Source organism: Homo sapiens, chromosome 1, assembly GCF_000001405.40.
Source record: "Homo sapiens chromosome 1, GRCh38.p14 Primary Assembly".
In the NCBI taxonomy this organism is placed as follows: domain Eukaryota; kingdom Metazoa; phylum Chordata; class Mammalia; order Primates; family Hominidae; genus Homo; species Homo sapiens.
The window spans coordinates 57,001,492-57,027,460 of record NC_000001.11 but is presented as its reverse complement, the minus strand read 5'-3'; the positions used below and the strand labels follow the sequence as shown (position 1 = coordinate 57,027,460).

General features: G+C 42.8%; 1 protein-coding gene and 2 long non-coding RNA genes across 25 annotated transcripts in view; 1 reads left to right on the top strand and 2 right to left on the bottom strand.

Annotated features, from left to right (window-relative positions):
- Window positions 1–10,927, bottom strand: part of LOC105378748 (uncharacterized) — a 32,737-nt gene extending 21,810 nt beyond the window's left edge. For 3 of the 4 annotated variants that reach the window (XR_007066123.1, XR_007066124.1, XR_001737649.2), the window contains exons 1-2: window positions 9,109–10,927; window positions 5,316–5,396 (exon numbers count right to left, since the gene is read on the bottom strand). This is a non-coding gene — a long non-coding RNA (uncharacterized LOC105378748). Of the gene's footprint in view, window positions 1–3,913; window positions 4,247–5,315; window positions 5,397–9,108 lie in introns of those variants that run through there. The other variant, XR_001737651.2, reaches the window with a different exon arrangement.
- The window catches only part of DAB1 (DAB adaptor protein 1), a 1,551,949-nt gene that overhangs the window by 1,519,266 nt on the left and 6,714 nt on the right, over window positions 1–25,969 (top strand). For all 8 annotated transcript variants that reach the window (NM_001379461.1, NM_021080.5, NM_001379462.1 and 5 more), the window contains 5 exons: window positions 1,418–1,480; window positions 3,822–3,930; window positions 12,030–12,578; window positions 16,189–16,316; window positions 16,671–16,781. In NM_001379461.1, coding sequence (NP_001366390.1) covers window positions 1,418–1,480; window positions 3,822–3,930; window positions 12,030–12,578; window positions 16,189–16,316; window positions 16,671–16,766 — 945 coding nt within the window. In that variant the 3' untranslated portion in view covers window positions 16,767–16,781. The remainder of the gene's footprint in view (window positions 1–1,417; window positions 1,481–3,821; window positions 3,931–12,029; window positions 12,579–16,188; window positions 16,317–16,670; window positions 16,782–25,969) is intronic.
- Window positions 12,764–25,969, bottom strand: part of LOC112267900 (uncharacterized) — a 50,726-nt gene continuing 37,520 nt past the window's right edge. For 5 of the 13 annotated variants that reach the window (XR_007066117.1, XR_007066120.1, XR_007066112.1 and 2 more), the window contains one exon: window positions 12,764–25,932. This is a non-coding gene — a long non-coding RNA (uncharacterized LOC112267900). The remainder of the gene's footprint in view (window positions 25,933–25,969) is intronic. The other 8 variants (XR_007066122.1, XR_007066115.1, XR_007066116.1 and 5 more) reach the window with 8 other exon arrangements.

The window sequence follows — 25,969 nt, the reverse complement described above, 5'->3', positions numbered from 1 at the left end:
TGAAAATACATTGCAAGATTGCAGTGGGCAGCACAGCAGAGAAGGGGCTGTCTGCAAAGAGGCAGGGGCTGGATGGAAGTTTTATAGGGTTGTGCTGGAGGGGCTACCTGCAAACGAGGTGGTTGTGCCCTTGGGTTGTTTGTGATTAACCATCCCTCAGAACAATTATTCCTTGTTCTTCCCCATCTGGGACCCTCCCTGACCTGGGGCTCCTTTCTCTTGTGGTTTATCTTACCAGTACTCCACACCCCCAGGCATGGAGTGTGGGACCTTTTCCAGAGCCCAAAGCTTGCTCACTTGCCAGTAGGAAAGAACATTCCCTTCTTTGGATGAACCTAGAGATCCAGCCATGACCTGGTTAGAGCGGTTTGAGTGCAGGAGTCCTGTGTGGCAGGGCAGTCGGACTCTTCACATCCCTTCTACTAAGTGGTATGTCTAAGTTCCCCCAGTTTGAAGCTATCACTTAAGATCTGAAGATAAGGGAAAAGTGGTTTTTCCTTAGTGGACAGGTTTGTACAAAGCATGTGATTACATACTTGTCATAATTAAGTCACGCCATAGACTCCCTAGAGTCTGTGAATCTGGCAGTTTATGCAGATTAATTTCTAAGTGTATCTTAAAGGGTTTCTTTAGCTGCTGTGGCTGGCCTTGCTCAGACACTCCCATATGATGGATGGGGAGAGAGATGATGCAGTGTCTGCAGTGATGGAGTTCCTAGGAGTGATTAATGGTGTATACACTGGGTTGTTTTTGATGCCTTTCCTGGTATTAAATGAAATGTTTTCTTTTCCTCCAACCACATTTTTTTATCCTAAAGATGGACTCTTTCAGAGAGTGCTGTTTGACTGCATTCTCTGTATTCAGAAAATTTAAATCGTGGCCTGGATGACCTTGATGCCACATCCCTGAGACTTAGTTTATTTATTTGTAAAAATGAGGATGATGATTCCTACCTCTCAGGGTGAATGCTATTGGGAGCCCTTACTGACGTGACCATGAAGTCATGTCCATACTTGCACATGGAAGGCAAGTTGTATGTGTGGATACACTCATGAGAGAAAAACCAATGATGGGATTGCCTCCCTGCCTTTATCTCCTAGAAAAGAGAGACATTGCTGGCATTTGATGGTAAATAAGTGTGAAGTAATGTTATTACTGCTTATGGGAAGTGATTAATGGGCAGTCTTGACCAAGCCTAGATAAATAGCCAGATGCAAGGAAGCAAGAATTGATTCTGGCTGCATTCAAGATGTTGCCTTTGGGATCCTGAGGTATAGTAATGACCCATCAGGATTACGGTTTATCTAGAGATGATGAAAAACAGAAATGTGTATCCCCATACCATACTGTGTGTAAAGCAGGGCCCAGCAGCACCAGCTTTCTTTGTAGTCACATGATTACCTTTTTGTCTTTACAGGCTGTGACCCAATTAGAACTTTTTGGGGACATGTCCACACCCCCTGATATAACCTCTCCCCCCGTAAGTATGCATTGCTCTCTGAACCCTGCTCTCTGAATTCCTTTCTTTACACATCCCCTCAGTGGCCAGAATATGGGCTTTGAGTGAAAGAGGGCTGCTGGTGGATTTCAGTGTTGACTCTTTCAAGCTGTGTGACTTGGACAAACTAACTAGTCATTCTGATCCTTAATTTGCTTGGCTATTTATAAAGGGGAAGTATGATATATGCCTCTGTTTTGAGAAATAAACGAGACCATGCATTTAGCAATGACAGGACTTGCCTGGGTGCTTGCTGTTCTGCTGTGGTCTGAGAAGAAAGGCCCGAAGGAGATGTGCTTCCTGACTACAAGGGGCACATCGTCTGGTTGGGATTGTAGGCAGGAAACTCGGGATAGCACATATGATGAGGCATTTGTCAGCACCTGCCCCAAGCCCAGTACAGCATAGGTGGTCAGCCCAGTAAAGGAAGGATCTTCTCCCCACACCCTGCTCTGCCCATCCTTCTCTCCTTTCCCTCTTTCTTTCCTCTCTCCCTCCTTTTTGTTTCTTCCCTCCCTTCCAGCCTGCCCTTCAGCTTTGCAGACCATGACCTGGGCCTCACTGAGCTTCTCAAGAAGCTCTGGATTCCCAGCCACAGCTTCAGCCAGTGTACCTCAGTCAGTGCTTACAAAAGGACAGAGATTGCAGGGAGAACCTAATTTGAAAACGAAAAGAAGAAAACAGAATTAACACCAAAGCAAAACAGAATCCCAGTGCTGGATGCATTCAAAAGCAATTCTGCCACCACTGCAAAGAAAAGAGCCGAGATGGCCCCTCCAGCCCCTCCCCTGCCCATTCCCGGAGGAGGGCAGAGAGCAGTCAGCCGCAGCTGCACCAGCTGAAGCTGCCGGGAGGGGACAGCTCCTCTGGGCACTGCGCAGTTGTGCAAACCGAGGGATGGTGCTATGGTTCATTGGCAAGATGCGCCTCACAGAGAAAAGGCTGTAACCTCACCACTGAGGACAGATGGCACAAGACACTGCTGCCCACTGCTGCCACCAGGGAATCTAGGCACAGCTGCCCTGCTGCCAACACCTGATGTCCAAGGCAGCCTTGAGGGAGGGGACTGCAGCCTCTGTCCCCAAAGAAGCTGGATGGCTCTAGCGATTGTCATTCTACCCTTTATCCTGGGCTAAAAGCTTCTTCCTGGGAACTTGGAGTTGCAGAACGGCAGGGCTATGCAGCTAGAAAGGGTTGAAGAGATCTTCTAACCTTATCCCCTTCATTTTACAGATGAGCAAACTGAGTCCCAGAGAGGACATGTGACTCACCCAAGGTCACAAAGGGGAAAGAAAGAACAGCACTGACTGTGTTTAAAAGTGCTTAACACAGCAGCTCATGGCTGTGTTTCTGGCCCTGAACCCAAGCGCAGTCCAAATGGGTATTTAATAATCCTCAGAACAATGCCATTCGTCCTGCAAGCTGCTAGTCTAAAAATGGCCTTGTCTAATTGCCATGATTTCAGGATTAATTGCTTGCCCCAGCCTATTCCAAGGGGAAAAAAAAGGATATTACAGCATCGAACAGATTTACACTCTGTAGGCAAAAGCCTGCTATAAATGGGTGTGGACATATACAAAATTATGAGTACTGATGTTTTCATTTCTGTATCCCCCATCTTGCCCACCAGTCCATGCAGCAGACCTTTTTGGAATTCCAGCACCGACTAGGCCCTGTAGAATTTTCAGTGGTGCAAGCATTGTTTCTTGTTGTCTTCTTGAAAATATTTACTTCTTTTTGCAAATGAAGATTCAGGCAAAATCTGGGGCGCTGACGGGGGGTGTGGCGGGGGGGCACCAGGATACAAGGGTCTGTGCACCACTTGCTAAATTTTGTGTGTTGATTTAGTCAACAACTGCTCATTGACCGTGTATTAAATTGCAACCCCTGAGCTGGGCACACAGTAGGTCTTGAGTGGGTGTATTTCAGTTTGAGTTGGCCACCTCTAAAGGGTGAGTGCCAAATATTATGGAAAATTTGATACCTGAAAACACCCCCCAGGGAGTAGGGGCTCAAACTAAATCATTAGGATACTGGCCATTATTTGCCAAGCACCTACTACATGCCTATGCACGGTGCTAAAAATTTAAGTAATGTAAAATAATTTAATTACATAATCTCACTTAATCCTCACAGTAGCTCTGGAGGTGTCATTTCCCATATAGATAAAGTGTATGTAACCAGCACATGGGCTGCACACCCCATAAGTGGCTTGAACTGTGGACCCCTTCCCCTGCGCCTTAATTCCTGCATCTGCTACCTCCCAGCCTTGATGACTGCTAAGCCAGGTCTCATGTGTCCTCTGCCTCTCTCTGTCTGGCAGACTCCTGCAACTCCAGGTGATGCCTTTATCCCATCTTCATCTCAGACCCTTCCAGCGAGTGCAGATGTGTTTAGTTCTGTACCTTTCGGCACTGCTGCTGTACCCTCAGGTAAGCCCTCTTCCACCAGCTTCCCTTCCTTTGGCCTTCACTCATTAAGAGAGAGAAAGAGTTTACAGAGCCAGCCACCGAATGATGATAAAACACTGCTGTTCTCTCCTGTGACTCTTCAGGTGACATTGAGAAGCTATTTAGAGGAGGAGGTGGTGTTGGGGTCCAGAGCTCTGGGATGTTACTGGCCTGGAATTCACTGATGTCTTTCACCCAGACAGCTCAAGATTCTATGTTACTCAGGTGTGCAGCTTTTGGGAGCATGGCATATGCACAGCTGTGCAATTAGCCCAAGTCCATTTCCACTCTTCCACCTCTGCCAGGAGAGAAAGCAATAAGCAGGGGAGGACACGGAGTCAGCTTTCTATAGACTTCTTGAGACCTGATGGATAGAAGGGGTCTGCCTTACTTGGTGCTGACTCAAGGAAAGGGAAGGTCCCCAGACAAAGTGGGGAGCACCCTATGGGACAAGAGCAAACTGCTAACTGAGTTGTGAGAATAATGAGACTCCTGGTGAGTTAGAAAGTATGTGTTCTGTTTTTCAAATAGTCTTTAAATGTATTTACTACTTTTACAACAAGTTAAAAAAATATATAGTGGCAGTATTGCAGGTGAGTTACAAATGGATGGAGCCCAGCAATCTTACCTTGTTTCCATGGCATGAGGCGTTCCATGTGGCCAGGCCACTGTACTTGCAAATAGCCAAAGGTAGTTTAGTTCTGTTTTTGACATACATGGGAGCCTTAAAGGGTTTTGTGGTTTTCTTTAACTATGTATTTGAAATCTGTGGCTTTATCTTTCTTGCCTTTATTCTTATAAATGGCAAATAGAGTTGTTTGAATATTTTAGAATACCAATCTTCTTGCATTTTTTTCTATAATTACTTTTAATTACATACTGTTAGAAGCAAATTCTTGCCACCAAATATAAACTGTGCTTTTATTCAAAGTAAATTAAAAATGCATACCCTGTTCTAAAATAGTTACGGTTATTACTCATGAGCTAAGGGATCATTATGAACTTTTAGAAGCAATAGAGGTTGGTAACCCTTGGATCTAACTTACAGTTTAGACTGCAAATTGCCTAGAAATGTATTCAATTGTGAAGTTTCCCAATCTAATCTTTAAAAAGGGATAGTGATGATGACTAGTTTTCCTTACCTAAAATAGATATTAAAATATCCATGGGACTACTATAATGGCACATGCCATTTTAAATAAGAGTAAGAGTTTTCCATCAGAAATGCACCACCCTTCTATGCTTGAGTCTTGTGTTCGGAGTGCCCATGCTTTGTCCTCATTGTTTTATCTGTAAAGGGTATGCTGGGACAGATGATGGCCCCAAACTTACAAATTTGCAGGCATGTTCATTTCAAAAATGCTCACCAGGTGCCCTCTATGTTCCAGGTCCTGTGTAGGTGCTTGGGATGTGCTAGTCCACACAACAGACAGAGAGCCTACCTTTTACTGGGAAGACAGGAAATAACATAAAAATAAGTAATTTGCATAATATATTTAAAAATGAGAAGTGATAGGGACAAAAGAAAATGCAGACCAGAGCATGGGGGCTTTTGAGTGCAGGCAGAGGGCAGGTGTAAGTGGAGCCCCTGTAGTCACGAGGGGCTCTTGCCTAGGTGACATGTGACAGGACTAGCAGGGACAGGAAAGTCTCAAGTAGGCATCAGAGTTCCAGGTACTCCAGGCAGAGGAATGACTTGGTCCCCCAAGTCTCCATTCCCTTCTCTATAATTGAGAAGATGGGACTAGATGCAATTTTATATCTCTTCCAGCCCTAACATTTGATTAAAAACACGCTGAGGACCTGCCTGGGTGTATTAGTCCATTCTCACGCTGCTGATAAAGACATACCTGACACCGGGTAATTTACAAAGGAAGGAGTTTTAATGGACTCACTGTTCCACATGGCTGGGTAGGCCTCACAATCATGGTGGAAGAAAAAGGAGGAGCAAAGGAATGTCTTACATGGTGGCAGACAAGAGGGCTTGTGTTCAGGGGAACTCCCCTTTATAAAACCATCAGATCTCATGAGACTTACTCACTACCATGAGAACGGTGTGGGGAAAACCACCCCCATGATTCATTTATCTCCACATGGGGATTATTACAATTCAAGGTGAGATTTGGGTGGGGACACAGCCAAACCATATCACTGGGTCAGTCACAGCACTGCTCTGGGCCCTCTTTCAAACCTGTACCAGATTAGGGACTTGGAAGACCTGGGTTTTAGTCTTGCTGCTTAACCAGCCACATTGGAAGCTATGGACAAGCCACTTCCACATATCCAGATTTCCTTTCTTTAGCTGCTAAAATTTTGATAGATTACCTCCAAGATTTCAACTTTTAGAACACGAGTCTAAAATTAATTTCAATTAGCATGTTTTTGCTTTCTGACTCTAGTTAATATGACAGAACTGGCTTCAGTTGGTGTTAAACTGTGTGCCCTATTTCTCCCTTAACTGGCCATAAAAATTTCTGTAGCTATTGAATCCCGATCTCCTTGTGACTAATTGTCCAGCCAGTGATAAGGAGACAGGGAAGTGAACTGGAGTATGTGATACAACGGATGGACTGGCTCCTGGGGGCTTTTGAATCTAATGGGCCAGGTTTGGATCCTGATTCAGCCATTATTTCTAAGCTTTAGACTCCTGGGCAAATTACTTGACCTGTCAGAGTCAGAGTTTCTTCATCTTTATAACTGAGTGTAAAATAATACTTACTTTGCAACAATATCAAGAGAATTAAATGAATCACTACATTAACTGCAGCTGTAGAAGTGGTATCACTACACACTGAAAAATGCTGGCACATCATCAATATTTAGTGTAGAATATGCTGTATTATTATGATTACTCTGATTTCTACAGTAGATGAATATATGTCCTGTTCTACCTATATTTTTTCCTTTACCTGGAAATTAGTGCCTGTAATAAAGTTTAGGTCTTCAGCCTCTTGACTGCTTATAGCAGACAGCAGGAGAATGGGTGGCCTGGAGAATGTACTATGTATGAACACAAGCTCTGCCACTAGCCAGCTGCACCATACTCAGATAAATATCTTCTGAGCCTCAGGGAACTTACCCCGTTTTAATGGGGATGATCATAATTCTACCTCATAGAGTTTTTCTAAGGATTGCATGAGTAAATGCACATTGTAAAATAGGTACAACAGTTCCTGGCAGTGCTTCCATCAGTAAGCACTCAACAGATGTTTGCTACATGGTTCTTCAGGAGCCTTGGATCTGCTATTCATACAGTGTGTAGCTGCATCAAATCTTTCCCTCATGGAGTTGCAATTTCTCCTATACAAATTAAAGAGATAGCAATCACACTCACCCCAGAGGCTTGTGGAAAGGATCACCTTCACAAAAATGTAAGCTGCACAGGGTAAGAATTTTTTTTTTTGGTGACTGTTTTGTTCTTTGTTTTGTCTCCACACACTAAAGCAGTGATTGGCACCTAGTGGAGGTATTTTTGAATGAATGAATCCATCAAATGAGATAATGTAGATAAGAGATGTCATACAAGTTCTGTATAAATGTTGGAGGAGTTCCTTCGTTTTTAGTGCTTTTCTTATATTTCAGTCTGCCTTTTTTTCTTTTTTCAAATAATGGGGGCATCCCCAGGTGTCAGCATCTGGCTGTAAATCACAATTTTCAACACTTTTTAAAAACCTAACTGTAAGGCAGCAAGGCAGGTGTTCCCTTTCACTCCACAGCAAGGAGATTTATGATTGCTCTGAACTTCACGGCATAAACAGATGCTCCTTAGTACCTCCTCCCTCCACTATTGGACATTAATTGTAAACAGTTAACAAGCTGTTAAGTGGCTGCAGTGGCAGCCACCAAGTGGCTCCCTCTGTCCAGTGCCACCACTGTCCTGCTGCTGACGTGTCCCTTCGCTCATGCACAAGACCATGTGGCCAGACAGCCTTAACTCACAGGCCGAGGAGAGCCAGCCTGCAGGGAACCCCTAGGAAAAGTGAGTGGGACCTGCAGGCTCCTAAACATGATACCCAATTACCCTGTGCTGCCTTTTTTCTTTTGAATATTGTACTTTGGTCTGGAGCAGATGGCATGAAGCCAGAGAGACATGCTAATAGCTCTCTCCAGAAAAGTGTGCACAGCCCATCTGTTAGCTCCTTGTGGAAAAAAAATAAAAGATGGGAGGGGAAAAAAAACCTGCCACCAACAGTAGAATCATCAGAGATCACAGCACTTATGCATTGTGGGTTTAATTAGACACCGGGAAAAATGCAGTGAATGTATTGACTAGGACTCATTTACCTTTATGTAGGGCCTTTCTCCCGTCCCAAACCATGCTAGGCAGGGTGGAAAGAGAGAGAGAATAAAGAGTTCCTGCCAGCAGGTGGTTTCTAGTCTCATCAGGGAAGATAGAACAACCAGGCAATTGCAAGGCAGTGTGACAAGTGTCATGATAGAGGTGAGCACAGGGTACTGTGGAAGCCCAGAGAAGGACCAGTGGTGCTGACAGGAGCAAGAAGCCATCCAACAGAGGTGATAGTGAACTGAGTCTCCAAGAGCAAATCAGGGTTAGACAGCACAGAAGCAGGGGGATGGCTTTCCAGGCAGATGGGCCAGCAGAGACAAGAGACAGCAGGTTGGGTTTTGTTTGCAAATGCTGGAGGGCAAGGTGCAGTGAGGATATGGATTGAAGATAGTGATGAAGAGGTGGAAGGAGCTGACCCCCAAGGACGCATAGCCAAGCTAAGACATCTGAGCCTTATACTTAAGACAATGAAGTACCATATATGCATTTAAAAACAGTCCTTCATGGCAGCAAGGAGGGTGGAATAAAAGCAAAGCCAAAAACAGGCTGATGTCAAGAGAGTGAAAACATCCACTCATTCACCAAAATGGGCATCAGGTCTTGGGTGATTGAATCTGTGGGTAGTTCTCCACCTGCAGACCCAGCACCCCCTTCTTATTACAAATATTTGCAATACCTCCTTTCACACCTTGAAATGAATTTCATAGATAATGTAGTCTAGCTACACAATTTTTCAAAATGAATATAATTCTCTAACTGTAGTATAAGGCAGAAAGAAAAGAAAGAGAACTTGTAATAAAAATATATGTATTTAAATAAGGAAATACTCAGGCGTGAGCACACTAGAAGACATAAGAGTCAGATGTATATACCTGTAAGTAGAATCACTACTGAAAGCCACAGCTGTAAGTCCAGGCTAATACAGAAGTGTCATGTGGCTACACCACCATGAGAAGCGCTTCTGTCAGGGATGTCAGGCACTGCCATTTTCCAAAATAGTGAACACCTTTTGACAGTGTTCCAAACCAAAAATACAGTCTTCTCTCCTGTGCACAGTTGTTGAATTCCTGGAAAATTAAATGCATTAAAATCAAATGCAAAGATAACTGAATTTCCATGTAATTCAAAGTCGATTCTAGGTGCAAATGATCATAAACAGGATGTGGAATAATGCTTTGTCGTACGCATTGGTCTCAGACATAATAGGATGTCTACTGTCAATGCTTGGGCCTCCTAAATGCCAGTAGTGCCACCCCCTCCTCTTGTGACAACCGAAACACACCCCACAAATTTTCTAGCCACCCCTAGGGGGCAGTAGCACTCCCACTGAGAACCACTGGGCCATATCAAAGTAAACCAGAAAACAAGACAGAGTTGCCGGATTCTTCATCTGTTGGTAGATTTAAGCCACTACATTATTATGCCATGGGCGAGGCAAGCTAAGCAAGCTTCACGTTTGAAATTTCAGCTCCAGGGCCTCTTCACCCCTCTTGTTTCAGTGCAGTTGGACAAAGTGGTCTTACAAGATATTCTCCATTTTGTTTGTTGACATCATTGTTTTATTCCGCAGAAGTGTTTAACACTGCGAGATTAATCAGCAAGAAGCCCAGGTGTCCTGTTGGTGCCTCTCTGGAGCCTCCTGTTAGGGAAGCACGGCATGAGAGGAAATGGGCACCTTGCGAGGAAAATGACCAGGCCTTGAATATTGGCTCTAGCCTGTATCAGTCAGATGAAGGCGGGTACATCTGTGACTTGAGCATGGAGTGAGGCACCCTGCATTGGATCTCTCTGGGCTCACAAGAGTCAGTGAGATGACTCATAATGTCATCAATGCCGTAACGCCCACCCATTGTCCCTTTGGAAGTTGCTAGGATACTCTGCATCCATTCCTCTTTTTTTCCTGGTACACTGCCTCGGTACATTCCTACTGACAGCCATGGAAAGGCTAGTTTTGAGAGGCCAGGCAAAGCTAGCTTCTCTGTTCTCTGCTCTGCCCAGCCTGAGAACTTGTCTCTCAGGCTCAACTGCACATAGAGGTGGCCATTGTGTCCCCTGAGAAGGGTGGGGACCCCTGGAAGCACATGGGAGTTTCCTGCAGGCCTGCAGTATTCTAATACAATCAAATAGAAGGCAAGGAGGTCTATTAACTGCAAAGATCAGAAATTGGTCTTGGCCATCTGGGTGAGGCAGTGTGTGGCACAAAGGAAGGAACCCTGGCTTTGGGGGGACAGACAACCTCAGTTTGACCCTGCTCCTACTTCATACAACCTGTATGACCCTGAGCAAGTTGCTTTTCCTTGAGCACCAATTTCTTCATCCCTAAAATACAGATAATAATACCTACCCTGCCGGGATTTCGTGAAGACATAAAACACCTACTAGTGTACGTGGCGTGTTGTAGGCATTTAATAAGTGGAGCTTGTTGCTGTTACTATGTTACTATTATTATTATAACAAGTGTTGCTTGTGCTCCTGTTGAAATGTATATGTCTTACCTAAAAAGAATAATACAGTGAACAATTATCATGGTAATACGTGTGAGTACAGGATGTGGGGTTTTGCAGTGTGTAACCTGTACTGATGCATGAGGTGCCCCTGAGTGGACAATAACTTTCTTTCTTTTTTTTTTTTTAGAGACAAGTGTCTCACTCTATTACCCAGGCTGAAGTGCAGTAGGGTGATCATAGCTCAGTGCTGCTTCAAACTCTTGGGCTCAAGTGATCCTCCCGCCTCAGCCTCCTGAGTGCCGAGACTATGGAACTCTGAGCATGTGCCACCATTCCTGACTAATTTTTTAAAATTTTTGGTAGAGAAGAGGTCTTGTTATGTTGCTAAAGCTGGTCTCAAACTCCAAGCCTCAAGCAATCCTCCCACCTGGACCTCCCAAAGTGCTAGGATTACAAGCATAAGCCACCACATCTGGCCCTATTTTTTTTTTATTCTCTAAAATTGGAATAAGAATAATAATACAGAAATCATGCATAATACCTCTCGCTACCATTTATTACATGGCTCTTGTATATTAAGCAACGTAATAAGTAACTTTCTAGCCTCTATCTAATCCAAACCATACTACTAACTAACATTTACTGAATGTTGATCCTGTGTCAGGTACAATACTCCACATATTAAATATGTACTATCAATTAATCTTCAAATCAACCCAGTGAGATAGAAGGTGTTTATACCCATTTTACAAATAAAGTCATGGAGCCCTAGACAGATTTAAGAACTGCTCCCCAAATTACATAGATAAGAAGTGGCCATTTGAATTTTAACCTAGGTCTCTAAAACTCCAACATTCAGATTCTTACTCACTCTGCACACTGCCTAAGTCCTGTGAAGGAAGGTATTATAACCTGGTTTTACCACAAAGAGTCAGACTCTTAGAGAGCTTATGCAATTGAGAGGGTCCTAAGTGCAGCAGGAAGAGGAGGCAAGGAGAAAACCCAGGAGGCCTGCCTTCCATCCTTCTGCCCTGTCCCTGAGACACACAGCTTCTGAGGCTATGAGACTTTAGAAACTTTTAGCAACTACAGAAATGTGATTACTAGCATTCTAGTTTTTGCTTACAGATCATCTCCTCAGAGAGGATTTCCCTGACCACTTCTCTAGGATATAGGCTCTATGACAGCAAGGACTTTGTCTTGTTCATCTTGGCATCCCCAGTCCCTGGCACACAGTCTGGCACTTAGTTGGTGCTTGATACATTTCTGTCAATTACCTGAGTCCATGCATCCTTCTTTCCCAGGACACCAGGGAAACACCTGACTCTCCTTTTTCATTCTCCCAGGTTACGTTGCAATGGGCGCTGTCCTCCCGTCCTTCTGGGGTCAGCAGCCCCTCGTCCAACAGCAGATGGTCATGGGTGCCCAGCCACCAGTCGCTCAGGTGATGCCGGGGGCTCAGCCCATCGCATGGGGCCAGCCGGGTCTCTTTCCTGCCACTCAGCAGCCCTGGCCAACTGTGGCCGGGCAGTTTCCGCCAGCCGCCTTCATGCCCACACAAACTGTTATGCCTTTGCCAGCTGCCATGTTCCAAGGTCCCCTCACCCCCCTTGCCACCGTCCCAGGCACGAGTGACTCCACCAGGTCAAGTCCACAGACCGACAAGCCCAGGCAGAAAATGGGCAAAGAAACGTTTAAGGATTTCCAGATGGCCCAGCCTCCGCCCGTGCCCTCCCGCAAACCCGACCAGCCCTCCCTCACCTGTACCTCAGAGGCCTTCTCCAGTTACTTCAACAAAGTCGGGGTGGCACAGGATACAGACGACTGTGATGACTTTGACATCTCCCAGTTGAATTTGACCCCTGTGACTTCTACCACACCATCGACCAACTCACGTGAGTGCCCCTCACTTAAGACATAAAACCCAATGAGAGCCGTAACTCATGTCTGGAGGCGGGGTTTCTGGAGTCAAATAACTCATCTCACTTGCATTAATCAGGCTTCTTTGTTTATATTATTATTACTAGTAATACTACTATGAGCTGCCAATTTAGATACCACTGATAACATACAAACCTTCTTCATATGTTCCATGTTTATTTTTAGACTTATAATAATGCTTAATGATAAATTTTGTTAGACCTGTTTGACAGATAATGAAAGTGAGGCTCAAAGATGAAGACAATAGACAAAGTGGTATTGAATTGAATGTAAGCCTGGTATTTTTCCACCATGTTACTCTGCCTCTTAAGATTTTGTTTGTTTGCTCATTCATTCGTTCATTTATTTACGTATAGATAGCTTATGACACACAGATTTTGGCGTGGCTTATTGAAATAAAATGAATGCAAACTTTAAAAATTTGGGGAACAAGTTTTAAACATTAGAATATAAAATAAGGATCAAGAGAAAACTTAGGGCAGAGATACGCAGCCATAAGGTCTTAAATAGCTTTTATAGTTGAAGCCTCATTTTGGGTTAAAGCTTCTGGTAGTTAAAGGGAACAAAAAGATAGTGCTGCAGAAAGTTCTGGACTGGGAACCTGGAGATCAGATTTATTACTGACCAGTTTTGTGCCTTTTGGCAAAGCACTTTATTTCTATGAGCCTTGGTTTCCTCATCTGTGTAAGCGATGGGTTATTAAAAGGATTCAATGGTATATGTGCTCAAACATTATAGAACTCCCAGAATTTGAAGTATCTTTTATCCTCATTATTAGCACATGTTAAGTGTTTTTTTGCAGTCCTGGACCAGAGTTCTGGTGTTGACTCCTCCACCACAAGCTGTGTCTTTGGGCAAGCGTATGACTTCTCTGAGACTCAGTTTTATCATTGGTAAAATAAGTGAATTGGCTTGGATGAGCAGTGTGCATCCTTCTAGTTCCAGCTTTCAGTGAGTCTCCTCCAGCTCATATTTCTTCTGCAAACATCTGGAAAACAGTGACTGTGCAGCCAAATCAGAATCCAGATACACTTGAGCACATGTACACTTGTTTGACACAATTCAGGGAAGGTGTTCTGATGACTCAGCCTGTGCCTTGACACCTGATAAGAGGAAAGAAAAGGCTCATGCTGCAGTGAGTTTGGCGGTTTCATTACTGTCACAGGTGATATGGATCACTGCATGGCCAATACTGTGAACTGTCAAAAAAAAACACCCCTAATGTTAATACAATTAGATTGTGCCATTTCAGCCAGGTTCAGAATGCTATTCTGAAAATGAATGCCCTTAACGTGTATAAACAACCCACTTGCACTCAGGCCATATGATCTACATAGTGGCAGCATCTCTATTTATGCAGACTCACAGGGTTTCAATGAGGAATAATGAATAAAAAATGAAATGTTAAAGAAATGACAGCCATGCATAAATAAGCAAGCATCTTTTTAAAAACAAACATCTCTCTTTCAATGGACTTGTGTGCCAGCTACAAATGAAAGAGGAGAGTTTAAGTTCTTTGAGGGCAGGAACTGGCTCCATCATTCCTACACTTCTCATAATGCTAGCTTAGTGCCTGGGACATGAGAGGCATTTGGGAAAGGTTATAGAGAATGAAATAAACAAAATGGAGATGACTTAGCTACTGTTATGTTTTAGAGCATCGTTGGCAACCTCGGCACTATGGACATGTTGGGCCAGATAATTCTTTGTTTCAGAGGCTGTCCCATTGTAGGATGTTTAGCAGCAACGCTGGCCTCTAATCACTCTATGAGAGAAACGTATATCCCCTTCCTCTAGTGTCGAGAAAAATGACTCCAAGCATTGCCAAATGTACCCCAGGGATGAAATTGCCCCAGACTGAGAACCACTGCTTTAGAGTATTAGCAGCATCCTATAAAGCCTTCTAAAGATTAAGACACCTGCATAAATAAACTCCTGCTTATGCTTTCCATTGATTTCATTAGGTAAGTCTGAGCAGTATACCTGCCAGAACTGGCAACTCAGCTTGTGTTCTCAACCTTTAGTAAGCAAAAATCCACTTCAAATACAATTCAGGATCTAATTAAGCTAATATTTATTAAACATCTACTACCCTTCAGGGTGTTTGCATATAGCTTTAAACCCACTTTCAATACAGTTTGTTCCATAGTCATCTCCTGAAACAAAACAGATTTCATTGCAAATTTTTTTCCAAAAACTTGCTGTTTTATTTTGAACAAAATTAGAACCAGTCTTTATATCCTCTGACCCATCAGTATCCCCTTAAGAATGTTTTGGGAAGAGGATTGGTTGGATCAAAAGTGAACCTCAAATAGAAACAGAAAAGCACAGTTGGACTGGATAGTGTCAGACAGAGCTCTGTTAAATGCCAGTGCTGCTATTTCATAGCTGTGTTAACCCTTCGCAAGACACCTCACCTCCCTGAGCTGCAATTTCTCCATCTGGGAAACAAAAAAGTTATGATAACAACTTGCAGGTATTTATATTAAGGTGTATAATGAATGGGAAGTGCCTAGCACAGTGTCCAACTCATTGGCACATTATAAATAATAAGTTAGGAAATAGCATCATCTTTCTATATATAGATTCATCAGAGTAAAAAGTATGCACTAAGTTTTACAATCATTCACTGTCTGATTTCTAAGTTCTATAACATTAGGAAAATTCAGCTGCTAAATGAAGTCATGCCACCCTCTCACTTGGGTCTTAGCCAGTAACCAGTATTTTCAGTGACAAATTAGAATTTATTAAAAGAAGAGTGGTATCAAATGGCATATTTGTTCTAAACCTCTAAAACAAATGAGAGGAGATGTGGGTGGGTCAGCCCAGAAAATGCGTATCCTTTGTCCTTATAGAATCAAGTACCAGCTGTGAAGTTGCCATCAGCTACATCCATTTTCCCAGATCACTGAGACACTTTCTCTTTATTCAACATGTGTTTATTGAATACCTCCTATGTGCCAGGATTCAGAATCTGGTTCTACCAGTTGCCATGAGCAAATTAGCAAACTTCACTTTCCTTACCTGTCAAATTAGGATAACCTCTACCTCAAAGATGTTTTATGAGGATTAGAGATATTGTCTGTAAAGTTTCTAACAGTGTTTGACACATGAAAGGCGCTCAATAACGTGCCCTCTGATGAAACACAGAAAGAAGAAAGCAAACCATAGCCCAGTAGTTCTCAGCTTGATCATGCATCAGAATAACCTGTAGCAGGTTGTTCAAACACAGAGTCTGTGATTCAGTAGATCTGGGGTAGGGTCAGAAAATTTCATTTCTAACAAATTCCCAGATGCTACTGCTGCTGCTTGTCCAAGGACCATCCTTTGAGAACCACTGCCTTACCTATCAGTGTGGACGAGCTCCTTCCTGAAGTCAGATGTGTGAGAGGAAAGATCAATACGTACAGAGAGAGAATTCAAATATTCAACTGATTCCACTGGAAATAGGAAGAGGAATCCTAAGATTTGACTTCAATATAAGCAGATTCCTGAGGTTTCTTTGGGATACATTCATGGCAGCCAGGCACTTAAGATGTCTCTTTTTCTGTGGTCTCTGTGTAGCTCCAACCCCAGCCCCTAGACAGAGCTCTCCATCCAAATCATCTGCATCCCATGCCAGTGATCCTACCACAGATGACATCTTTGAAGAGGGCTTTGAAAGTCCCAGCAAAAGCGAAGAGCAAGAAGCTGTAAGTGACCAGTTTGTTATTTGTTTGTGTTTTTCCTTAAAATTAAGACCTCTGTAACTGAAATGGATAATGCATGAGGAAGCCTACATAGAAAAGAATGCTGGCTCAATCTCATAAGTTCTCAAGGGGTTGCTAAAGGGGCTTTCTTTTGTGTTCAAATGAGTCAGCTGAAAAGGACTGCCTTTTTATTAAATTGTTACTACAAGTCCACATTTGTGGTGTAGCATCCTCTAAATGCCGTTGCACCCTCCTTTACAATAACTGATTGTGCTGCATGAAAGTATATCCAGGTGTCTTATATTTTCAATGCTTGAAAAGAGAGAAAAAAAAAAGTATTATCTTCTTGTGTTCTAGCCTGATGGATCACAGGCCTCATCCAACAGTGATCCATTTGGTGAGCCCAGTGGGGAGCCCAGTGGTGATAATATAAGTCCACAGGCCGGTAGCTAGATAGCGCAGGTCTGGGTAGGTATCTGTCCTTTTTATCTCCTTTACCCTTAAGCTATCTGCTTTCCCTTTTGGTTGTTCTTCACTTCTGAAGCCACATCCTCAATGTTTGCACCATGTCTCCTTGCCTGAGCTGTATTGCTGATGTTTGCACCATCGCTCCTTCCCTGAACTGTATTCCTGATGTTTGCACTATTTCTTCTTGCCTGAGCTATATCACCAGTGTCTGCACCATGTCCCTTTGCCTGGTGTCTACGTTCTACTTTGCCTTTTCTCATGGATGCATGACCTTTGACATATCCTGGGAGGTAGGGGTAGGGGTGAGAAGTGGGAACTGATCATATTATTTTATTAATAATATGTTCTGCGTGGTTGGTGGTGATAGAATGAGGCATGGTCCATGCTACTTAGCATGCATTTAGTTTCTGGAAGCATCAACATTTTGAGATGGACACATTCTGCCCACCCTGATAATTTCTCAGTGAGCCATGGTCCAGATGCTTTAATCTTTTAAGCAAAATGTCACTGCATTTGCCTACAGTCTGCAGATCTAAAGAGGTCACCAATCAAACACACAGAGAAGCCAGACTAAGAAGCAAAAACAAGCAGTGCTTGAAATAAGATTGATCGAGATGTAAGATCAGAGGAAGCCCTTTTCGTCTAGCCAGAAAGGACCCTGCACCCTGCATCCTTTCTGATGTGAAATTCAAAGCCCAGAGATGTGTAGCACTCACTTCTGAGGCTGTGCTGTTTGCACCTGTGCTGCAGCATGTGGATTGCCACCAAATCACTTCAGATTCCATCAGCAGCTACTTTGAGAGAGATGTACTTACATTTACTAGAAGTGGCTTTTGGCACTTGAATTTCAATACATCTGATTTGATCGAAAGAAAGAGGAGCTGATGAAGCAAACCTTCTTAGGAGACAGAAGTACACCTTGTTACCCAGACATGATTTCTAAGGTCACTTCTTGACAAACGTGTTCAATTTTCAGATACCTTCTTAGTTTTCTATAAACACACAGGACTGCAAGGCCATTCCCAAAAGGCTCCTTTTTTAAGTTCTGAACAGCATGGTCAAAACCATTAAAATGGTAAACAGTTTTCTCCACTCATAAATGGATTCGGAGGCTACCTCATAAATGGATTCTGAGGCTACCTCAGAATTAGTCTTAGCCCACACGTAAGTTAGACAGTTACTGAAAGCTAATATGGTATTTTGAAAGTGTATTTTGTTAACAGGTATTTTTATTAAAGAACCTAACACACTGTGTAGGTTGCCACATTTTGTATCAGTGCAATAGCACATAATAATATGTCATGCCATGCAAAACCACCTACGATTCACTTAGAAGTTCACTCTTGCAAAGCTACTTCGGGAGTTGATATATTGAAAGCAAAGTCAATGTTTCAGGAAAAAGAAAAGTTGGGGACTATAGGCAGACTCCTTGGGATGATTCCCCACGAGGTATTTTACCCCCCGCCTAAGTTGTATTTCACGTGCTCAACCTTGCCTTGAAAAATTTGGTGAATAAACTAGAGGTGACAAGAGCCATTCATCAGGATAACAGCAAACATCATCCTAAAATTGAAGTTCTTCTAGAAAACAAAGATGACTTACACCATTTGCAGATCAATGTATTAAACCCTCATCTTTATGAACCTGTTCAGCTTGAGACAATCCTACAAGCCAAACTGTTTCATGGGGCTTTGGTCTGTTCCACATTTAATGCTCTGTCCAGTACCCCAAGCCACAGCTGAGCTGTAAATGGACATAGCATAGTAGTGTGGGAAGAACTCAGGATTTGGACTTGAGTTTAAATCCTAACTCAGCTACTTAATAGTGGGAAATCTTGGGCAAGAACCAAAATTTGAGTCTTGGTTTCTTCATCTGCTAGAAGGGGCTTATATTCTCCATAATGGTAACTGAGATAGTTTATGTTGAGTATCTAGCGCAGAGACAGACACTGAGTAATCAGCTTAAAATTCAGCTTAAAAAAAATATCTAGGTTCTGGAACAACATTGTTTGAGTTCAGCATCTGGCTCCACCACTTCCTGGCTATGTGACACTGCTGTGATTTTATAATTATTCTCTATCTTATTTTCTTCATTTGAAAAATAAGGATAAAAATAGTGTCCACCTCATAGGGTTATTATGTGAACTAAATAAAGTGATATATGTGAAGCTCTTAGCACTGTGTATAGCACATAGAAAGCACCTAATAGATGCTAGCTACCCTCATCATCACCATCACCATCATCATTATCATCATCATTATCATCATCACATATATCCAATTAATGCACGCTCCCCACTCTCTTGGATTTTATACATTTAGCTTTCATGTATAAGACCATTGGTTGGGAGGTTTTGCTTTGTACTTTGTCTTCAGATAATTAATTTTCAATATGTGTCACAACAGCTTTGGAAGGGAAAAAAAGAAAAAAGCCTGCTGCTTAGCTCTCTGGCTTGCCCCACCCCATAATCAGAATGGCCCTGGTTTGGGCCTCACACAGCTCACTGCCAAAAAATGGGCTGTCTTAGAATCACATGCAAGTCAAAATAAGTACCTCCCAGCTCCAGAGGAGGGCTGGACTGTAATCTTCGGTGAAGTAATTTTCTCCCTTTGAAAGCTTAGCCTGGCCACTTCACAGTTATCAAGATTCAAGTGCCAAGGGGCAGATGCCAGCTTTGCAGACATAGCCACTATGACACACATGGGGGACGTCTGGGAGAGCCATTCTGGGTCCCTCCATCGACAGCAGCACAAGACACATTTAATCTTTCCATCTCCATCCCATTCCCCCATCCACCCAACTGAAAATTTACTGACTGCAATTTCTTAGTGCCTTTCCAAACATTTGGAGAAGAGAGACCATGCAGGGAAAGTTATGTCCATGGCTTTATTTTTTCCCCTCTGCTTTCATATGGTTGGAAAGCAAGAGTCCTGTCTCTCTTATCACCCTTGCAACCATTATCACCAGCTGTTTTTTATTAGAAATACCTGCACAGTTCTGAGTAAGTAGGGATGACATCTGTTGATAAGCTAAAGCCATATCACACCATAGTAAGAGGAAACAGACGGACTCAATCCCCACAGGTGGAAGCTTCAGGGCCAATCTCAAACAGCAGTGCTGTTTTAGCAATAAAGGAAAGTATCTTCAATTACTTCACTTTTTTCCCCCTACCCTCCCATCTGGGAGAATCACGTGTCTTTGAAAGACTGGGTCAACAAGGGCAAAAAAGAACCAAAATAATATTATAATGACTGGTATGGGAATGGCAGGTAATTTATACTTCACTGATGTGTTGCTGGAGCAATTTTGAGGACGAAATGTTAGCTTTTGAGGAGATGAAAGAAAAATGAAAACATTTATTTGGTTAAATGGCTAAGTAAATAAACTGCCTATCAGACTTTCCCAGCTGTCAAGTCAGAGTAGCATCTGTAACAATGGGGAATTGTTTGGTCTGCCTCCCTTAGTAACAATAGATATTGCCATAAATAATAAGTTGCTGTCATTTTTTAATACTGATCTTCGTGGTGGGAATGCAAGACATATAACATATTACCTGATGGATTTCTAGTGTTCAAGGGAAAAGAAAGCTGAAACCTCAGATGCTTTGGGAAGACGAATCTTAAGAGAGTGAGAGAGGAAGAGAGAGAGAGAAAAAAAAGGAGGTAGGGAGGGAAGGGAAGAAAAGGAAAGAAAGGAAGAAACAAAACACAGAGTCAGGGGCCTTAGGTCTGATTTCTACTTCCAAAGCAGGTCACCTTAGGTAAGCATACATCCTTTCATATGGATAAATACAGATAATTGCAATAGCTCTCTCCCCAAGCTGTCCAAGAATCAAATAATATCATAAGTATGAAAGTGTTTTATAAGCTTTGAAAGTAAAGTACATGTATTTGGGATTATTATTACCATTCTCTTTTTAAATACAACCAAACAACAGACCCTTAAAATAAAGAACCACAAAACAACAGAAAATGACCTATTTTATGGACACAGAACTCAATGACAAGTCCAACCTAAGTTTTTGGAGGGCACAGTGTCCCACTTCCTTGGACCTTTATGAACAGACTCCCTGTCGAGGTCCTGTAGCTAGAAAGTGATGGCACTGGATCAGGCAGAAGATGACCAGGGTCTAGCTAAGGGCAGTGTCAGCCAAGACCTCAGGCATAGTGCCAAGAGATGTTTAAAAGCTGAAATCAACAGAAGGTTAAGACCGAAGAGACATGGGAGGTGAGGAAGAGGACATAAGGTAGGATGACACCCAGGTTCCTGGCATGGGGATCTACATGGTGCCAGTCACTGTGCTAAGGAACACAAGCAGCATGTTTGAGCAGAAAGAAGACAAGTTTACTTTGGGACCAACTGAACTCAAGGTGCCCATGAGACTTCCAAGTAGAGATGCCAGTAGGCTGCTGGATACAACCTCTGGAGATCAAAAGAGAAATCAAGGCTAGACATGGAGATTTCCATATGGGTTTCAGCCATTGGAGTAGTGAGTGCAAGTAGAATACACAGATCATCTAACCAGAAGTTGCCAAACTCTCTGTAAATATGTGTGCCTTGTGGGCCATACTGTCTCTATTACAGCTACTCTACCATTGTCACAGGAAAGCAGCAAAAGATGATACATAAATGAATGAATGTAGCTGTGTTCTAATAAGACTTTATTTACAAACACAGGCAGCTACCAGAATTGGCTAACAGAATTAGATCAGGCTCACTGTTTCTAGAACCACTGCAGAAGGTAATCATGATACCTTTCACTTACTAATAATAATAAGATATATTTTAAAATTACTAGCATCACCTAATTTAATCCTCACAGGAACACTCAGGTATTTTTATTATTCCCATTTCACAAATATTGCAGACAAGGTAGAGAGTTTAACAACTTGCTAAAATCCTGAGATTCACATGTAATAGCACCAGGATTTGAATCTAGACCCAGATTAAGTAATTCAAACACACTCAAACAGAATCAGGAAGGACACCTGGGTTTTAATAGCATCACATCAATTTAGCTGTGTGATATGAGGCAGATGGTTTCATTTCTGACCTTTGGTTTCCTTTTCTGTAAAACAGTTCCCACAGGTCCTTCCAGCTCTGACATTTTAAGACCATCTAACTTGCCCAAAGTCACCCAGCTACAGCATGGAACCAATCCCCAAATAAGATCTTCCAGCAGCATCTCTCCCTCAGGCTGTCTCTATTCCCATCTAACAAAGGAGAAGACAGAAATCCCTAAAATACGCTGACTTCATTAGGATCCCCAGAGACTATCAGTCCTAGATGCAACCTGCTCCCAGTAACCAGGAGCTTACTCAGAAAAGGCCTTCCTGCTTATGGTAGATAATTAGTGTCAGCAATTTCAGCGTCATCATCTGTTATATAACAAGGCCAAAAAAGATGATGTACATGTGCAAAACAGATCATTGATGCCCATCATTGTTGTTATTATTGACGGGGAAATAGAATGTTCTTCAGAACATGCACAGTTGCCTCGAAACTCAGGTGGTGCATCTCTGTATGCACCAAGCGGATTTCAGCACCCAAGACCCCAGGAACAAGGGCATTCGGCAGTGTCAATCCCTAAGGGATTATCATCAAATCCATTCAGTGTTTAGAAGACTTTTCTACCCTAACAGCCAGACTTTCAGACTCAAAGTGGCCAGAAAGCTTTGTTTTTCCTTTTGTTTGAATATAAAGAAAAAGAAGGCTGCCAGCATTTAAGATACTTCATGTTATACGAGCTCACTTGTAACTTGTCACAGTCCCATGAGGTAGATGTTATTCCCTCCACTTTACAAATGAAGGAACTGGGGTGCAGATAGGTGAGATGCTCGCCTAAGTTCATATCGGAAGTTAGGAGGATTTCTGGGGTCTTTCTGGCTCCCCAAACCCATGCATTTTTCCTGACCCTCCACATGGATTCAGATAGAACTTTGAGTTATTTTAGCCTTTTTCCCCTCTGACTACCAATACCTTTTTCATTTGTCAAGCCAAGGAATGTAAAACTCCCACTGAGCTAGTCCTAAGTTTTAGGGCTAAAAGACCATGAGGCTGAAGTTGCTGCCTGGGCAGGGTAATGCTGAGGGACTCAAGCTTTGACTCACCTTCCAGCTTTAGTCTGATCCTCAGCTTCGCTTGGCACTTTTCTTACCCTAGGCCCCCGGGATGGGGCATAAGTAGGCTCACTCAGCAAGCTGATTGCATGGCGCACCATCGACCTCACATCTGAGATCACCTTTGTCAGCATGCAGTGTCTTCGCTCCACTAGTAAGATGTATTGCTTTTGACATACTTTTGTCAAAGGTAGTCAATCTTTCCAAAAACAAATACAAGAAATATTAAATGGGCAGAAAGTAATCAGCACAATTTAGGTAGCTTCCAAGAGCGTCTTGTTATAATGTGACATAGGAAACCATTTGCCCTTATACTTCATGCCAAAGAGCTGGGGCTGGGAGAAGAAAGCAAGGAAACCAGCACAGAAATGGGAGTCTGAACCCTGAGCTGCTCCCTGGCTCTCCACTGTCTCCTGTATAGCTTTGGGAAAGTACCCCTTGTGTCTGGGGCTTCAGTTTCTTCATGCGGAAAAGGAGCTGTAGGTGTGAGGGCCCTTCCAGCTTCAACCTTCTATGAGAGGGAACACGTGGTAGTGGAGAGGATAGTAGGCTTAAAAAGACCTGAGTATGTTTACATGAAACTCTAGAAAAAACAAACCTAGTCTATAGCAATCAAAAGCAGATCAGAGCTGGCACTGAGATAGGGAGTTGACTGAGAAGGCACAAGAGAAGTCTTTAGGGTGAAGAAATGCTCTATAGCTGACATGGGTGTATATATTTGTCAAGTTCATTAAACTGTACATTTAAAATGGGTACATTTCATTGTATGTAAATTATACCTCACTGAAATTGATTTAAAAACAAGACTAGGTAAAATCGTGGAGATGGAAAGTAGATTAGACTAGGGCTGGGGATTTGGGGAATGAATGGGGAGTTAATTGCTTAATGGGTACAGAGTTTCTGTTTGGGGTGATGAAAGAGTTCTGGAAATGATGCTGATGGTTGCACAACATTGTGAATGTAATTAATGCTGCTGAATTGTACACTTAAACGTGGTTAAAATGGCAAAGGTTATGTTGTTTATGTTTCACCACAAATAAAAATCTAAAAAAGATTAAAAAAAAAAAGCAGTATGTCCCAGCTCTGCTGTGTGCTGGCTGAGTAACTGCACAGGTCACCCAACTGCAGGGAGCCCAGGTTTCTTTGCTGTAAAATGAAGACAGGAGCTCTAAAGGCACAGTCCTGGTGTGTAGCTCAAGTAAGACTATGTGACATTGGAAAGACCGTATATAAACTGTAAAAGTTTCTGTAGAGATATACCATTATTACTCCAGTTCTGTGAGTCCACTTGGCTGCTGTAGTCGAGCACATAATTCATAGATAGTTAAAGGACATGTGGAGTAGTCTGCAAACGGTGGAAGTTTCTGTTATCCACAGGGCCCTGCAGCCAGGTTGTTTGCATTAACTCCACATTCATTCTGCACAATTTTCCTAGGCTGGTCCAGCACCATTCTTTTATTAATAACTGAGAGCTCATCTGCAATTGCACCTATGTGCTATGAAGGAGAGGCCATTTGAAAAGAAACCCACAGGTGATTATTAGGCCTAAAACCATTGTCTATAAAGGGAGGATAAAGCCACACTCCCAGACATAAGGGACCTAATGTTTTTTGGAGTATCTCCTATGTTTCAGACTCTGTGCTAGACAATCAACATGTTTTCTCCTTCACAGAGGGTATTTCTAGCCTCATTTTACAGATGAGGAAACTGGCACCCAAAGACGTTAAGTACCCTGCACAGAATCCTAGGGCTGCTAAATGTGTGATGGTAAGAAAAAGAACAGCAGCCTCTGACAGTCAGGGGCAGGCCCACCCCCACAGCAAGGTGCTGGCATTCTCCTGTTGAACATCAACATTTCACATACCATCAGCATAAGGCAAGGCCACTTAGTGACCATGATAGGTCAAGACAAAATCAAGACCACCAGGTCATCATGGCTGAACACAGGCAAAACATGAACATTGTCAAAATTGGAAAACTGATCAAACATTTCTCTAGCCTGGTTTCAGCCTTGCTCTGTTCTTCTTGCCTTCCAGATAAGTATTGTTGGGATAATCACAGAATTACCCCCACATTATGACAGCATCCAATTCAGAGAAAAACCCCACTTTGTTGACCATCCCCAAAATTACTTACCTTAAGCCCAAATCTTGTGATACATTCTTTCTAACACCCTCTTTCAGAGATGCCTCATTGCTCCTCCCTCTGCGCTGAGGAATAACCCAACATGTTCAACTACAGATGTGTCCCTGGTGGTCTTTGCAGCAGATCATTGGCAGGAGAACACTAAGCTAGGCCTGCATGACTTAGTCTCCTGTGCTTTAGCTCTTTTACTGCACCTTCGAGAAAATTGGGTGTTTCACTTACAGAAAGGTTAGAGGGTGGATTTTGCTTTAGGTTTTACCATATGGTTTCCATCTACTCTGTTATCTAAAAATAAAGATATTAATATGTCAGAATCATATTAAAGTTCACAACTATTTGCCAACTTCCACTAAGAAGAGAACTGTTCATTTACTCACACATGTCTTCATTCTTCATGTTGTTAGTGGATGCACCTCCCATGTTCCAAGCTTCATTCAGAATTCGGGATACTGACATGCAAGGCCCAGTGGAGCTCAGTGTAGAACATGCTAGGAGATGCCATAGTAGGAGTGAAGACAGAGATCTGCACAGGTTCTGAAGCATCCAGGAGCACAGTGGCTCGTGTCACCTGCAGAGTCCAGGAAGCCTTGATATTTCAGCTAGGTCTTAAAGTATGAACTTTAGGAACAAAGAAGCCTCCGAAGCCAGAAGGAACTGCCTGAATGAAGTCTCAGAGATGGGAAAACTCCAGCATGTGAGGGTGAACCCCAAGTAGGGTTTGGAAGGTAGGGTGTAGGAGAGAGAGTGGCAGTAGGAGAGGCTGGTTGGGAAGGTGGGCATTATGTGCAGTCTTGAGGAGTTTGCCTTTTCCTTTGAGTGACAAGGAGCCAGGAGGGCTGTTTCAGGCAGGAGACTGGCATGGCCAAATCCATTTCAGAAAGATCATCCTGGAAAGACATAAAGAAAGATTTTTTTAACATCATT